We start from the raw sequence: 16,505 nt of genomic DNA on the forward strand, positions 1-16,505 counted from the left end.
AATTCTGACACATACTACAACATAGATGAATCTTGAGGACATTGTGCTATGTGAAATAAGTCAGATGCAAAAGGACAAATACTGTCTAATTCCACTTATAGGAGGGCCTCTAGAGTAGCCAAATTCATAGAGACAGAAGTAGAATGGTAGTTGCCGGGGACTGGGAGGAGGAGGAAATGGGGGAGTATTGTTTAATGGATATAGAGTTTCAGTTTTGCAAGATGAAACATTTTCTGGGGATGGATGGTGGTGATGGTTGCACAACAGTATGACTGTACTTAATGCTACTGGACTGTACACTTCAAAATGGTTAAGAGGTTCAATTTTATGATATGTGCATTTCACCCCAATTATTTAAAAAAGGAACAACAGTGAAGGCTGTGACTTCATTAGAATCAGCATTGCCAGTCTGGAGAGCCAGGATGCACCCCTGGCGTGTCAGCAGCATCTCTGTGGGGGAAGCTCAGTCCAGTCTTGGTGGCTCTCTGAGGGAGCCCTGGGTTGGGACTGTGTCTCAATCGGCCATGACAGCTGAGCAGGGGAGCACTGCCTTCGTGCCTGACGTGAGCCCTGCGACATCTGCCCTGGACATATCATTTCAGGAGCATGAGGACTCCAAGTGGGGATCCCTGACAGCTGGGGATGGGGTGGCCGGAAGAAGAGGCTGCTTTTCAGATGGCCCTCAGACAGCAGCCGATGGCATTTGGCCAGATGCGTGCATTTGTGCTATTGCTTTGGAACACGTTGGAGGGAAGAGGGCCCTCTGTGACAAGATAATTTTTTTGGGAAGGGGGATGAGCTGATTTGTTTTTAACTTTGTAAAGTTCAGAAATACCCAATTTAACTTTGTCATATCTCTGAATCCTGAGAGAGGCAGAGAAATGAGGGAGTGACATGCTCATTTTTTCCCAAGAAAAATGAAAGGTTAACCACTTGCTGAGACTATAATAAGAGCGTGGGTAATAAATACATGCTATGCAATATTCCTGACCAACAATGATGGGCTTTGCTACTCTAAAATGTTTGGAATCACTGGCCTAACAAAATGGCAGAGGCCAGCAACAGAAATGCCAGTGGAGGAGCATGAAAATTCTATGCCTTTTCTTCACATTAAATTTAAACCTCAACAATGGAAGGATGGAAAGGGGCAACTGCACAGTGTGGCTAACAAGGAAGCATCTCCATCAAGTCTCTTTCAGTGGGGGAGGGAAAGAACCCAACTCAACTGGCTGAAGACACAGAAATGTACTGGCTCACACACCTGAAGTGTTCAGGATATTGCTAAATTCAGGCATAGCTGGATCCAGGTACTCATCAGGTACTCATACAAAGTCTTTAGGCATCTGTCTCTTTCCATCTTTTTGTTTTCTTTTGAGACAGGGTCTTGCTCTTTTGCTCAGGCTGGAGTCCAGTGGCGTGATTGGGGCTCACTGCAGCCTCGACCTCCCCAGCTCAAGCGATCCTCCCACCTCAGCCTCCTGAGTAGCTGGGACTACAGGCACACACACACCAAACTGATTTTTTTTTTTACTTTTAATAGAAATGAGGTCTCTATGTTGCCCAGGCTGGTCTTTCCATTTTTTAGCCCTGGCTTTCTTCTGTGCTTGTTTCATTCTTGGGCAGTCTGTCCATTGGTGGTGGCTATAGCAGTTCCAGGCCTGTATCTTACCAATAAGAGAGCTCCTCTTTCCTTCCAAAAGTCCCATGGTTGGCGCTTTGGGTCTGGCCTGGGTCATGTGTCTATCCTAAACCACTCACTGTGGCCAGGGTAATGGAATATGTATGCTGAATGGCCAGGCCAGGACCATAAGCCCACAGGGACTGATAGGGTGGGGTGGCTCCCCAGGGAAAGCCTGGGAGATGGTCCCCAAAGAAGGGGTGCAGGGCAACAAACACACAGCTGTTCACACCATGGGGCCTGTGAAGGAAGGCAGAAGCCAGGTCCCCTGGAGGATTCTGATTGCTTTCTTTCCTTGGTCTGTTATCTTTGCAAAGTGTTGTGGGGTTGTTGATGGAGTGACCACTCTTCTCCTGTCCTGCAGATACCTCTTGGTTTGAGGCATTGAGATGCTCTGTGGTCAGAATGTTATTGATGGTGTTCTTGGGCAGTGGTTTTCCATTTTGTTTTTTTATTGTATACAAATAGCTACAAACATTTATTTTCTTGTTCATGGGTCCAGGTTTGATTGTGTCTTGGTTGGGACTGGCCAACCAAGAGCTCCAGAGCTCTTTGGAGCAGGTGCATACTTGGGACATGCATTTCTCATAGCAGATCATAGGAGTTAAAGGGGCAAACCAAACTGTGAACTCTTCTACCCTTGAAGAGCCCTGGCCCACATTGCATTTGCTAATATTCTTTTGGCCCAACAAAACACATAGCCAAACCCATTGCCAGTTTGCATCTGGGGTGGTTATTCTGTGTCTCCTGCTCTGCAAGGCCACATGGAAGAGAGAAGAGAGAAGAAATGGGAGTCTAATCTATCCCGTGTTGCCTTCGTGAGAGCTCATTAGTGTCTGGCTCCCTGCACAGAATTAGCTTCATGACCCATTTAGCCTTTTCTGTCTCTGATGGTAATGATAAGGGAGATATCTTTGCAACAGCTTGAGTTTCCTCCTTGAGGTCAAAATCAAGGTTGAGCTATGCACCCCAAGCCCTTCAGGAATTGCTCCACTCAGTGTGTAAGGGGATGGTCTCCACTCTTACTGTCTGGACTCCCCTGCTGGAGAGGCAGGTGGTCAGGGAAGGACTGGGCTGAGTGCATGGTTCAGAGAGGCCTGATCAAGGGCTGCTGAGCATGGGGCCAAGGGTGAGCTGGGAGAGCAAAGCTGACAGCCAGGCAGCCAGTCTGGGTAAGTCCAAGGGCTAGGCAGAAAGAGATGAAGTCAGGGCAACTGGCTAGATCCCATAGGACCAGGCCAAGGCAAGAGGGTGCTGGACAGATTGGAGGGTAGAGGCTCAAGAAAGCCCCCAAGTACCAGGAATTTGTAGCCTAGGGGAGAGAAGGAAGTTGTTAAGATCTGGGACAGGACCCCCCTTCTTCACTGGCTTTCACCCTAAGAAGGAAACTGTAGCTGGCCATTCAGTCTTCCCTCTCATCCCTATCTTGGCAAACTTCTTAAAACCACTTAAAAATATTAATATTGGTAATTGTTTCCATGACTTCTCACTGCAGGCTGAAGAGCTTATATTACATAGAAACACTTGCAAACAATGATAGTGTAGTAGTTATTTTTCTTTTTTGGCTCCTGAGGACATCATGTATTTTACAAGATGTATGGTTAATATTGAAATCATCTTTCCAGCAGCTCTGATATTGTTTCTTACAATTAACTTTAGTACTGCACAAATTGCTTTGGTACATTTGAGTACAAAAGTATCAACTGAAGCCCAAAGTATCAACTGAAGTGGGCAGAAAAAAGGCACACAGTTACCGCAAATGGGAATTTCTGTTGTGTAAGAGCTGTTTTGCTTAGTTGTATTACATATTCAGACTCTGGGGGTGGGCGATGGCTGAGCAGGTGGTGGTGGGGCCTCTGGAAAGGCAGAGAACAAGTGTCTCCTGTAGAGAGTGTGGGGCCTTCTGCACAAATGGGTGTCTGCTGGTGACAATAGTCATGTTTCCCAATCTGGTGTGAGTGAAGGAGAAGCAGACAGCCTGTACTTCCCTGTGCAATTGGAGGTTGGTATCGGTATGAGATGGAAGAGAACACGTTTATTATTATTAATGATAATATCAAGATCTACGAGGATCTTGAGTACCATGAAGTAGACTCAGACCTTATATGGTTTTTTTCTTTGAAACAACCCAATATAATAGTTACTATTATTATTCCTATTTTTATAGATGAGGAAAACTGAGGGTGAAGGTGGTGAAATAGCCTGCTCAGTGTGACACATCCAGTAAATAGTAGAGTGAGAATCCAAACTCAAGATCCACTGAAGCGGCCGGGCGCGGTGGCTCACGCCTGTAATCCCAGCACTTTGGGAGGCCGAGGCGGGCGGATCACGAGGTCAGGAGATCGAGACCATCCCGGCTAAAATGGTGAAACCCCGTCTCTACTAAAAATACAAAAAATTAGCCGGGCGTAGTGGCGGGCGCCTGTAGTCCCAGCTACTTGGGAGGCTGAGGCAGGAGAATGGCGTGAACCCGGGAGGCGGAGCTTGCAGTGAGCCGAGATCCCGCCACTGCACTCCAGCCTGGGCGACAGAGCGAGACTCCGTCTCAAAAAAAAAAAAAAAAAAAAAAAAAAAAAAAAAAAAAAAGATCCACTGAAGCTCATGGTATGTGTCCAGTATAAGCCCCCAGCTTGACAAGACTGCAAAAGCCACAAGTCAGGCTTAGCCAGTGTTCCTGGAAGCCCAGCAAGCTGGCTCCCCTGTACAGATTAGCGCCCCGAAGCACTGAGGCTAGGGAAGGCAGCAAAGCCAGAAAAGACTCAGGGATCTTGCCTAAGAGGGAGCAAGGAAGGGCTTGACTTTCCAATCAGGAAAGGGAAAGAGCCAGGGAGTGGACATGAGGCGACCCTGCTAACATTCACCATACCTGCCTCCTATTGGGTAAGGGTTAGGCAGATTGACCTTCAGCTTGGATGGGCCATGGTTGGTCTACAGCTAAGTCGATCAGAGAAGGCCCATCTCCCTTGCCTCTGTGATTGGATGAGAGATGGGCAGCTCTAAGACAGTTCAGGCCAATGAGATGCAGGGAGACGTTGGGTAGGGGCTTTTAGGAAAGTCAGTCTGCTTTTGATGAGGAGGTTCAGGAAGGCATTATTTGTCTCAATCTATCCCCTCTCCCCAACAGTGAACAAGAAAGCAGATATCCTTGCTGACTGTTGGCAGCCGTTGTGGGACCACAAAGGCACCAGCCTCAGGAGATGGGAAGACTGAGTTGCCAGGGACGTTGCTGAGCCATTAGAGCCATCCTTACCCACAAGCCCACCCCACCTTGGGACTTCCTCTTGGGCAAGTCTGTGAATCTCCATGTTGTTGAATCCGTTTTGAATTGGCTTTTCTTTTTCTTGAAGCTCAAGGCATTTTAATTGGCATAACCTAGCCTATAAAAGGAAGATTAATTTCCTTGACCGCAAGAAAGTGGAATTCGAATTAGAGGGAATGAGATATTGAGATATCTCCCTCCATAGCCAGAGCTGCCTTGCAGTGAGTGTCCGGCTTTGGAAGCACCCCTACTAAGGCTGGGCCATTGCAAGGGGATTCCTTTTTTCTTTTCTTGTCTTTTTTTTTTTTTTTTCTTTAGACAGTTTTATTCTGTTGCCCGGGCTGGAGTGCAGTGGGGCAATTTCAGCTTACTACAACCCCTGCCTCCTGGGTTCAACCGATTCTTCTGCCTCAGCCTCCAGAGTAGCTGGGACTGCAGGCATGCGCCACCACGCCCGGGTAATTTTTGTATTTTTAGAAGACACAGAATTTCGCCATGTTGGCCAGGCTGGTCTCCAACTCCTGACCTCAAATGATCCACCTGCCTCGGCCTCCCAAAGTGCTGGAATTACAGGCATGAGCCACCGCACCTGGGCTGCAAGGGGATTTCTAAGGAGAAGGGGAGACGTGGCCACTGGCAACCACACCACCATCAAGGTGGGGCCTCATGATCCACCTACGAGCAGGAGCAGGGCTCTGAGGCAGGGCACTGAGGCTGAATAACACCTCTGTGTTGCAGGACAATTTATCAAAGGAAAATGAGGGCATCCATTCAGTTTTCCTTGTCCCACCTTCAAAAAAGACCAGGATTGTTGAAATTATTCCTCTAAAATCTACATTTTAAGAAGGAAGGTCAAGCTGGTGCTAATGTAATGTGTGCTATAGCTAACATATTATAGCTAACATACCTGCTTTAGGTCAAGCTGGTGGTAGAGTTACATTCTATTTTTTACTTATGGTATGCTTTATAGGAAAATGGGACCCTTTGTATGATTAATATTGGTGAGACAATGTCCATTTTGTCAGAGACATAAGGTAAATTCTTATCACAGTACACTGTTATCAAGGTTAGAGGTTGTGATATCTTTGCTTTCTTGATTTATTAAGAATTGTATTTATGATTTAATTATTGCCAAGTCGATGGTCAGGAATGCTTCCTAACTTTGCCATGGCGATATGGTTCTAGGGGAGAGGGAAGCCGATTCATGTTATTTGTTCTGCTAATTTATAAACACACTGTCTGTTCTAGTTTCCTCTCACAAACCCTTTTGGATCTGACATCCATGAATTTATTTAAGCATTTAAAAATCATGACATGTTTCCACCATGAGCCATCTACTTGCTATGAGAAGGCATGCTTTCTTTTATTTATCCTAAACGTGTATTTTCTGAGCTTCCAGCAAATTCTGCACCATCCCCTTAGACTAGTCTGGAGTAGGACATGCACAGTTCTTGACCACCACTAGCTGTGGCCATCCTTGGCTAATGCCACCTTTGTTTTGTGTAAATGGCTTATTTACTCTTCTCTGTTGGATATCAAAGCAACTTAACAGTGTAAGTAGCTTTTGCTAAATGAAGACATGAGTAAGCAGAGACTGTGGAATATACTGGTGCTACTTCAGTGGGATTTTACATGGTGAAACAAAGGGAGAAGTTGGTTCAGAAGTTTAGCCCTTGCTGCCTTGCCCAGTATGTGATTTTGTGCAAGAAGATGAGCAAAACAAAGACATGTTGCAGGCCGTGTTTTCTGGACGGTTGTTGAGTCAAGAAGGATTCAGGTGAGATACTGGGGCTCCTTATTTGAGCCAGCAGAAGCAGCTTTTTAGTTCCCAAATCAAATGGCTGGTACATAAATGTAAGGCTCTTATGCTTATTTTGTGACCTGAAAGATGGGGAGCAGGGAAGGAAGAACTAGGCGTGGTCTCAGATGTTTGGGATAATTGGCATCATTTTCCTCCATTATCCATGCTTCATCTAGAATGAGTTAATTGAGCCTGAAGCCTTCCAAATCTCCTGTTAATTACCCTGAAGCAGGCATGTTTGTCCCTTTCTTGGTCTAAAGCTGCAGGCAGATATCCGAGGTCTTTTATCCTTGCCTAGCACCAAAGAGTGACCACAAAATCTGCCTCAGGTTTCCGAAGGAGCCAGGTTCCACACTTGGCCCACCAGCCCCACTGCTCTGTGTGCGCCCAGCTCTCCACTTAACCACCTGATCCTGTTGTGTGACTTAGAAGAACGTGACTTTTACAACTTGAAAGCTTATTCCTGGACAGGAGTACTTGGTAGTGGAGAATCAGAGGAACTAAGGACTTCAGCATCACACCCAGTTTAAGCCTTTGCGCTTCAGCCAAGAAGACAGCAACGCTTGTCACGCTTGTCTCTCTGGCTTTTGGATAATATACATAACTGGTCCTTATGGAGGGCTGACTTTGGCCATGTGTGTACTCTTTTTAATGATCCCAACTGCCTGACAATGTCTATACACTGCATGAAGGACCTCATGCTCTAGGGAGGCAGGATCCTTGCCTGGAGTTACACTTGGGGTGGCAGAAGTGGGACTCATACTCAACCCTGACATACCATAGCACTGCTTGTTGATTTGCAGACATATAATTGAATGTGCTGTTAAAGAATGGTGAAAGTAGGAATGTGTTTGCTCTAAATTTCCCTGTGAACTTCCTTGTCTGCACCAGCTGGCTTGGTTTGATCCTTTCCCCAGACTCTGATGCTTCTGTAAAGACAGAGCACATGCACATGCTCATGTCCTCTGGCCCAGGTAAGGCTTATCCACAGAGAAGGGAGCATTGTGCCCCCAGTGCCCGGGAGGTGGTATATTCCACAAAGAGGTGAGTGGAGTGGGGGCCTTGTTGTCATTGAATCTCATGTAGTGGAGGGCCTTGGGGAGGTGACACAGGAAAATGTGCTACTCTGTATTGTCTTGGGAAGGGTTGAATTTGATTCTGTTGTTTCTGAGGATGTGAGAATAAATCTTGATGGCTTTCCTCTTTCTGCCTCTAAGCATCCTTGTGTGTATTGCTGGTTTTACCTGATCATTTTCACCATCTTCCCCATGGTTTTAGTGGTCATTTTTCATTTCTTCTCTTGTAAATAATCAGTTCATGTTTTCTAGCACCAATTCTAAGCCTAGATTAGTAATAAGAAAAGTTCCCTCTTTTTAAAAGAAGATGTCTACTTTCTCTGCCCTCCTTATTGCCCAGAAAACAGGCATTGTGGAGACGTGGCCTTGATTGTCCTTCTTCTTGTCTCTTCCACCAATGTGGCTGACCTTTTTCTCCTCACTCTCCATTAATTAGCAGCAGTTTCCCTGTTCCTTGGCTCACAGTGGTACACCTGGGAGCCTTAGCACTCACTGAAAACCCCTTACTGCCTAACAAGAATTGACCCATGGTTGAAAACCCATCTCAAGTGCTGCTGCCTCTATGAAGCCCACCCTGAATTACGTTCAACTGGACATACTTCCTTATTTAAACCCTTTGGCACTGATATTCTATCTTTAATCATTATTATTATTTTAGAACATGTCACCTTCCCATGTTTTCCAAGTCATAAAAGTAGTACATGTCCATCACAGACAAATGGGGAGTGCAGAAAAGCACAAAGAATAAAACAGGTAAGACCCAGGTAACAGCAGGCGCCAGCATTTGGGGAGGATTATGTGCAGGTGCTCTTCCAGATCTTTACCTGTGTTAATCCAGCTCATTTTCACAGCCACTCCTCGAGGGCGGTATTGTTTCAATCCCCATTTTCCGTATAACGAAATGAAGCTCCAGGAGGTAATGGTGATGGATCTCAGATGGTAGGTGGGGTCCTGTGCGACCTGGAGATCTGATTAAACATGGTTGTCCTAGTTCCATGGCTGTGTGAGTTGGAGATCTCTCTGAGCCCCTGGGGTTTCTCTCTGTTCCTCCCTGGCCCCTGCATGCAGCCTGGGGTCTTAAGTGGGCATCTACTCCTCCTTGGTGGATGCTGTCGGGAGACTGTAACTTTCCGAAGCTGCCTCTGTTTTATTTTAGAAGTCAGGTTTTAACTGTGGGCATAAAAAGAGCAAGAAGTAATAACTGCAGCCAGCATTTATGGAGTGCTTTACACGTGCCAAACCCTGCTCTGAGGGTTGTGTGTGTGTGAACTCACTCTTCACACCATAGCCACTTTGAGGACCTGGACTGAGTTTACATAGTTAGAATGTAATGAGAGGGGCTGGTTTTAGAACCTGGTTTTAACTGCCTGCTCTCTTGCCTGCATCTACATCCAGTGATGAGACAACCAAAACAGGCCTCTGTGGATCACAAGTGGGGACTTGAGGGGAAATGGCACAGCTTCTTCTGCAACATTAGGATTAGAACAAGAATCAGGGAAGAGCCTCCCAGGCCTCTCCCGACTCCAGACTGTGGGAAGGCCTCCCATCTGGGAGGGCCGAGCATGGGACAGGGAGACCTGATGGGGTGTCTGGGCAGAGAGGAGAAGGTCAGCTTCAAGAGACCTGGAGCTGAGCCCATGCCCCCAGGGCTGTGCTGACATCTAGGGATGTCCCACGGCCAGGGCACCCTTGAAAGCTCCTTGTTGTGGTCACTTCAGCATATGGCCTAATGGTCACTTGTGGATCACCAACAGAATGGCACCCATTAGAATGGCATTGGAGACTTTGCCAAGTCCCATTCAGCTGGTGGACACACCCTATTCTCTCAAAGACCACCTGGAGATAGGGAGTGGGGGTCTTGACATCCAGAGGGATGGTGGCTGTGCACCCCAGCACCCACTTGGGTGGGAATAGACAGGGTGAAAACATTCCTGTTAGTCAAATGATTCCTTTGACTATCATCTGCTGATAGTCGAAGGTCAAGTTCTATGTCACCACCTTTACATGGGAGATCAGAGAAAGGGGTGGTCACATGGATGAAGGCTGGGAAGGCTTCTTGGAGGACAAAATATATGCCCTGGCTGTAGAAGGACAGAAATGAATTCAGCGGGAGGAGGAGGAAGGCAGGAGCACACATCAGGCTGAGGAGAAGGGGTGAGAGATGGAGTGGCTCAGGCCCAGGCCCAGGGATGTGGACTGAAAGGACCCTCCAGAAGGTGGGCTGGGGATGGCACCAAGATCCTGCACCTCTAATGCCTGGGATGGGGATGTGATGAAGGTCAGGCGAAGTGTGAGTGTGGGAGTCAGACAGCCTGGGCTTGAATCCTAGTTCTGGCACCTACTAGCTGTGCAATTTCTGTCTTGTGACATGCAGTCACCTGATCCCAGCCTCTGTTTCTTCATCTGAAACCATGACACCTATGTAAGGAAGCCACATTCAGGACTGAGATAGGAATTAGATAGTAAACATACAGTACCGAGCACAGTGCCTGCGGTGTATGTCATACTTGCTTAATAAATGGTATTCATTACTCGTGTTCAACTGGGAAATCCATTCTGTGGGTCATGGAAATCTCCACCCACTGCTACTTTGTTTCTGTGTCTTTGTGGAATGTCTCCAAGTAGCAATGAAATCACATTCTAGACTGGGCAACTAAAAGAAATTGGGAAAATCCTAGTGGATGTCCAGTTAGAGGAAAATTATGCAGTTTGCATAAATGAAACATTGGGATGCAATTTCACTGTTTTATTTGGTTTTGGTTTGGCTTTCATGGGAAGCTATACGCCTCTGGGTGATTTTTCCCAGCAATCATGGGAGATATATATCCGGTTTCTTCATACACAGCGACAATGTTTCCCTCTTCCATCCACAGAGACAGCAGGGTTCAGGCTTCGAGTTGTGGTGCAATTGGCCCACATCCACCCCACCCTCTCTTCACGCAGCAGATGACTGGGACATAAAGAAGCTGATGGGGCCACTGCCACCGAATTTCCACCTGCAGCCCTTCTCGGGGGCCACCACCATGCTCCTCAACAGCTGTCACTGACAGGACAGAGCTTGAGGATCTTGAGGAGCTACTGACCCTGCAGAACCGCTCTGAGACCAGGGGGAGCTTTTCCAGGTGAAACGATTCATGGCTAGGCTGATTTAACTAATGGGTTTTTCATCAGAGTAATACATATTCAGATATGTCCCATGCTCAGTGATGGCATCAAGCAATGTCAGGATTAGATGGGAAATTAGAGGCAATTTGCTCCAAGTGTCTACTTGTGTACCCTCCACAGACGTATCCATGCAATGGTCTTCTGTCTTCTAGGAAGCTCCCAAGTTCATTTTTTATTCAAAGCGAACCAGGAGAGTTCTGTCTACACTCATTTCTATGCATAGAACTTGACGCTTTAAAAAGACAATGCTGAATTCTAGTTTCCCTGCCCCTACACCAGCCCAATCCTCTGTTCTTATTCCCATCTGACGGTGTCACCCAGGGCACTAACCCAGTAGTACCAGGCACCGAATAGGCATCCAGTAGGTGTTGAATGTCGTATGTAGCGGACAAGGGCCACTTTGGAAAGTCATGTTTCATCGCTTCACTCCTCCCTGTGAGTCTGGGTGCTCTGAAGCCCCTCTCTCGATCCCCCCATGAGACACACAGAATTTAGACCCTGTCATCAATGTTAAAGGTCAGCTAACATGGTTTCCAAACCAAGCATGTGTCACCATGTATCACTTGGGCTTGAACCCAGGTTGGCTGAATTATCCATGCATCTAGGCAACCACCTATACATCCATTCATGCAGCTCATGGAAATGTTTGGAGTGCAAGCACAGTTCCAGGTGTTGTGGCAGATACAAAGAATATGATAGAGGGCCTGGTCCTGGTGGATCCAGGATGTTGTGGGGGAGACTGTTCTAATGAGCCATCTCTGTGTTGAGTTATGTGATAAGAGCTGTGATAGAGATTCTGCAAAGAATCCGGGCCTGGGCATTCAGGCCTGGGATCTGCACAAGTGGGTCCTCGTGCTGCCCTTATTTAAGGCTCAAAAGGTACCACTCTCCCAGACATCAATACCACTTCACTGTCAAATTTCCCTTCCCACAATCCTGTCCTGTGGTGGTGTGCTGGAGAGGGAGCATTACCTCCAGTGTCCCTTAACCATACCTAAGAATATAACTACACAGGCAGATCACGAGGTCAGGAGATCGAGACCATCCTGGCTAACATGGTGAAACCCCATCTGTACTAAAAATACAAAAAATTAGCCGGGCGTGGTGGCGGGTGCCTGTAGTTCCAGCTACTCAGGAGGCTGAGGCAGGAGAATCACTTGAACCCAGGAGGCGGAGGTTGCAGTGAGCTGAGATCGCACCACTGCACTCCAGCTTGGTGACAAAGCAAGACTCCGTCTAAAAAAAAAAGATATATATATATATACATATATACGTATATATGTATATATATGTGTGTATATATATGTATATATACACACATATATATACATATATACGTATATACATAAATATATATAAAGATATTTATATATATAAAGATATATATATACACACACACACACACCCAACTAAAGGTGTTTATTTCTAAATAGATGAAGAAATATGTAACATCCATTTATAAATTAAGAAATAAATAAAATATATAACATATTTATTTATATCTATATGACTTTGTAGAACACTTTGTCAGCCTAACATGGTTTCTCCAGGCGGGCAAGAAATAAACATATATGTATGTGTATAAATGTGTATATTGACATTAATGTATGTGTTAGACATATTTAAAATAAAGATATGCATAATTTACCTGATTACAAATACATATATAAATAAGTCTATGTGTATTTGGGTTCAAATCCCAGCTGTGCAAATCATTAGCTCTGTAACATAGGCATGTTCTGTCACCTCTCAGAGTCCAGCTTCCTTATCTATAAGATGAGGTTGATGTGGCCTGTGTCTCAGGGATGCGACAAGGAAATGGAGTCATGCATATTAAGAACTGAATAACAGGTAATCGGGAAGTGAGAGATATTATGTATTATTGCAGAAGGATTGTTGCCTGCAGACCCTGCTGTGTTTCTTCACACCAAATCATGGGCAAGTTTTTTCCCGCCAATCCACCTGATAGCACAGAGCTGTGTTGTGGAGGGCTTTAAAACAGTCCTTCTTGTGTTCAAGGACCCTCTGGGAGGGTCAGAGGTCTGTGCATGTCCTTTGTCAAAGAATTCTCTTTCCTTGTACATGCAGATGAGAAGTCAACTCTGAAACACAGGCCAGGCACAGTGGCTCTCGTCTGTAATTCCAGCACTTTGAGAGGCTGAGACACGAGAATCACCTGAGGTCAGGAGTTCGAGACCAGCCTGACCAACATGGCGAAACCCTATCTCTACTAAAAATAGAAAAATTAGCTGGGCCTGGTGGTGGGCGCCTGTAATCCCAGCTACTCGGGAGGCTGAGGCAGGAGAATCGCTTGAACCCGGGAAGCAGAAGTTGTAGTGAGCAGAGATCGCGCCATTGCACTCTAGCCTGGGTGACAAGATTGAAACTCCGTCTCAAAAAGACAAAAACAAAAACAAAAACCCCAAACAAACAAGCAAACAAACAAAAAACATCCTCTTAAACACAACTCAGGCGGCAACTCCTATAAACAAAAATCAGCATAATAAACATGGTGGCCCAGTGGTCTTTGGGCCTGTCAACTGGAAGTTAAGCCAACTCTGTTTGACTTCATTTCTGAAGGCAAATATAGCTCCAGCATTAGCCAAACTGGGCAGTGAGGAATTTTTCATGTTCCCAACACTTTCAACAATGCCCTATTATGCATGGTGACTCATGAATGGGCTCACATCCACGGAACAGCATGTGTCTCTCTGCAGTGAGCACAGTGCTTTGCTGTATGTTTGAACTAATTTCATAGTCTGGTCTCCACCACAGATGTTACTTGCCTTCTTTTCTGACGGTTGCTGTAAGCTTGTTGTATCAGAGAAAGCCAGAAAAGGAAAGAGCTATGATTCTTTGCACTGGGCAATTGAGCGTTTTGGAGACAGTGCTCTGGAGAGAAACTTAGGTTCAAGTTGAATTAAAAGTGAAGTCTTGGGTGTCTTTGTCAAAAGGCATTTACCTTAGTTGGCGGGTCAAAGAAAACTCTCAGGTCATGCATAATGGTTGTGGCTGCTGATGCCATCAGCTCTCTTTCTCTTGACATTCAGGGGAAAAGACAGCAGACTGTTTAAACAGCTCCTTGGATGTGGCAGGGTCAAGGCGGCACGGGAAATTGTGTGCAGAGGCAGCTGATTTGCCTCGTAGGTTATTATAAGAATGAAATTGGGCAATTTTATAGAGAATGAGAACCCCAGGAACACATACTTGGTTTCTAACATTCCAAAAGGAGGGAAGAATTACTGGCATCTAATCTGTCCCAAGGACACCCTGCCCTGTTGTTTTTTCCTCCTGCCTGGTACACATGCCTTGGCTGTGCTGAGCTTCAGCAATTTTTGAAGCTGTCATGGAGCAGGGTGGGCTCAGAGCCAGCCTTGCTTGTGCCACCTCAGACCTCTGCATCATTGCAGACCCTGGAACACCCACACCTCTTGGCTCCCTGGTGAACTCCTAGCCTACCATCAACAGCCATCAGAGACTGCAGTTTTTCCAGCAGGCCTCCTTGACTCCCCACTCCTTTGGTAGCTGCCTCTGGTCCCGGCACAGATTTCTGTTAGTGCTCTTACCACCTTGTGTTCTAATGTAAGAATAAGAATTTAAACTCCTCGGCAAGGTCTTTGCTTACTGCTCTGCCTCTTCAACTAGATGGTGGATTTCTGAGAGCAGTGACCTGGGCTGTCTTGCTCACTGTGTATTCTCAGCACCCAGGACATTTCCTGGCAGGCAGAAGGCACTTAGTAAACATTTGCTGAACGATCGAGTGAATAAATGAATAAATGAATGAATGACATCCACAGGCATTTTTGTGTGTGTATGATGAGACATATGAGGTTTCCAGGACACCAGAAACTCCTACAGTCATCCATTCTAGTATGTCACGACGTTGTCACTGGAAGGCCCTTTTAAAAATCACTTCTGTTACCTGTTATCATTCACCAATGCCTGTGCATGAATGAGGTTACAGGATTACAAGGTACCTGCGTAGATAGACCAGGTCTGCTTCTGTTTTGGGGTAAAAGTAGGGAAGTGTGCATGTGTGCGAGGCAATGGGTGAGTGAGAAAGATCTGAAGCTATGGGGTGTTTTTCAAAAGGAACCCTGAAGTCAGAGTGCCCTTGAAAGAGGAGGAGACTGGGAAAGGGAAGGCAAGAGGTCAAGGTTTTCTATTAGTCTTGAGCCCAAGCTTGGGGGGGACCTTAGACCTGCAGGGTCCCAGGTGAGTTCCTAGCCCTTGTTTCTGGCTTCTTAGACAAGAGAGTAATTCATTAACCCATCTTCCATTCATTTACGTGTTCATTCATTGGACTAAATCTCACTGACCATGTACAATGCACCAGAACACAGCAAAAAGCAAAACAAACACATTTCCTACCCTCATGGAACTTATATTCTTGTTAGGGAGAAATAGCCACAAAACAAATAAATCTACTACTATTCCAGATCATCATAAATGCCCTGAAGAAGAACGGAGCAGGACAAGGCAGTGGAGAGCCACAGGGGTTCTGTTTTTGATAGTGCGGGTTGACCAGAGAGGCTGGGGGTAGATACCTTGAGAAGGGGACAGCAGGCAGAAAATAAAGGAAGGGACCCTGATAGCTGAGCTGCTCATTGGTGGGAGACAAAGGCGTGGGATTCAATCCCAGCTCCATTGCTTTGGGCAAGCATATAGAATTGGGTCAAAGATGTTCTCTTTGAGAGTAATTCCTTTATTTGAGCTGAACAGGGGACTTTGACAGATAGGTGTACATTTTTGACTTGGAGTTCATTGCACCACTTCACCCCACTGAGCCCCACTTTACTCCTTTGTCAACTGGGAAGGCAATGAGGCCTCCTTCATAGGCTGTCTTGAAGGTTACATGAGATCCCATGTGTGACAATGGCCCTCGGTGATTTATGGAGAACCATGCTAAGGAGAGCTATTTACAGGTTCACCGCTTGTCAACCTGCAAAGGTATTAAAGTTCCACAAGCAGTCAGTGATTGTTGGCCAATGACTGCTGGGCCTGCTGAATCTTGGGTGCTGGTGGGGACCTTCCTTCATGCCTCTGCCACAGGACTCCCATTAGTCTAAACTTAGATTCCTACAGTCTAGAGGTTAAACGTGGTTAGTGCAGGGCTTGCTGAGTTTCAGCTGGTATATAAGAGCATCATAAAAATCCCTGGCATTTGTTCTGATTGGTTGGTGCCTGTGTAGTACCCGAGGTTAAAATTTCTTGACTCTCAGCCCTGTTAGGAGTATGGACTCTGGAGTCATAGGGCTGGAATGCAAATCTCAGCTCTATCGTTTACCAGCTGTGCAACTTGGGCAAGTTACTCTCTATTACTCTGTTTCCACATCGGTAAGTGGAAGTCATTGTTATGACTTACTATCTCTTAGGGCTGCTGGGAGAACTAATGAGTTAGGCAGTGGCACTGGAAGCAGTGCCTAGCGCACATGCCCATGTAAGTGTTTGCTATTCTTATTACTTTTGTTCCTCCCCCACTTCCACCGTGACTTCCTGTGGAGAAGAGGCCTGTTCTAGTCATCT

General features: G+C 46.1%; 1 long non-coding RNA gene across 2 annotated transcripts in view, besides 1 other annotated feature; it reads left to right on the top strand.

Annotated features, from left to right (window-relative positions):
* LOC105377732 (uncharacterized) overlaps window positions 1-16,505 on the top strand; it is a 139,446-nt gene that overhangs the window by 73,794 nt on the left and 49,147 nt on the right. The window contains exons 5-7 of one of the 2 annotated variants that reach the window (XR_007059057.1): window positions 4,803-5,158; window positions 8,473-8,567; window positions 10,688-10,936. This is a non-coding gene — a long non-coding RNA (uncharacterized LOC105377732). The remainder of the gene's footprint in view (window positions 1-4,802; window positions 5,159-8,472; window positions 8,568-10,687; window positions 10,937-16,505) is intronic. The other variant, XR_001743001.1, reaches the window with a different exon arrangement.
* Window positions 10,595-10,864: a silencer, noted in NCBI's record as "fragment chr5:172896379-172896648 (GRCh37/hg19 assembly coordinates)". NCBI's record gives its function as "represses an EF-1alpha promoter that drives an FKBP-Casp9 reporter gene in an ReSE screen in HepG2 liver carcinoma cells {active_cell/tissue: HepG2}" and the evidence as "EXISTENCE:reporter gene assay evidence [ECO:0000049][PMID:32094911]".

Source organism: Homo sapiens, chromosome 5, assembly GCF_000001405.40.
Source record: "Homo sapiens chromosome 5, GRCh38.p14 Primary Assembly".
Lineage (NCBI taxonomy): Eukaryota > Metazoa > Chordata > Mammalia > Primates > Hominidae > Homo > Homo sapiens.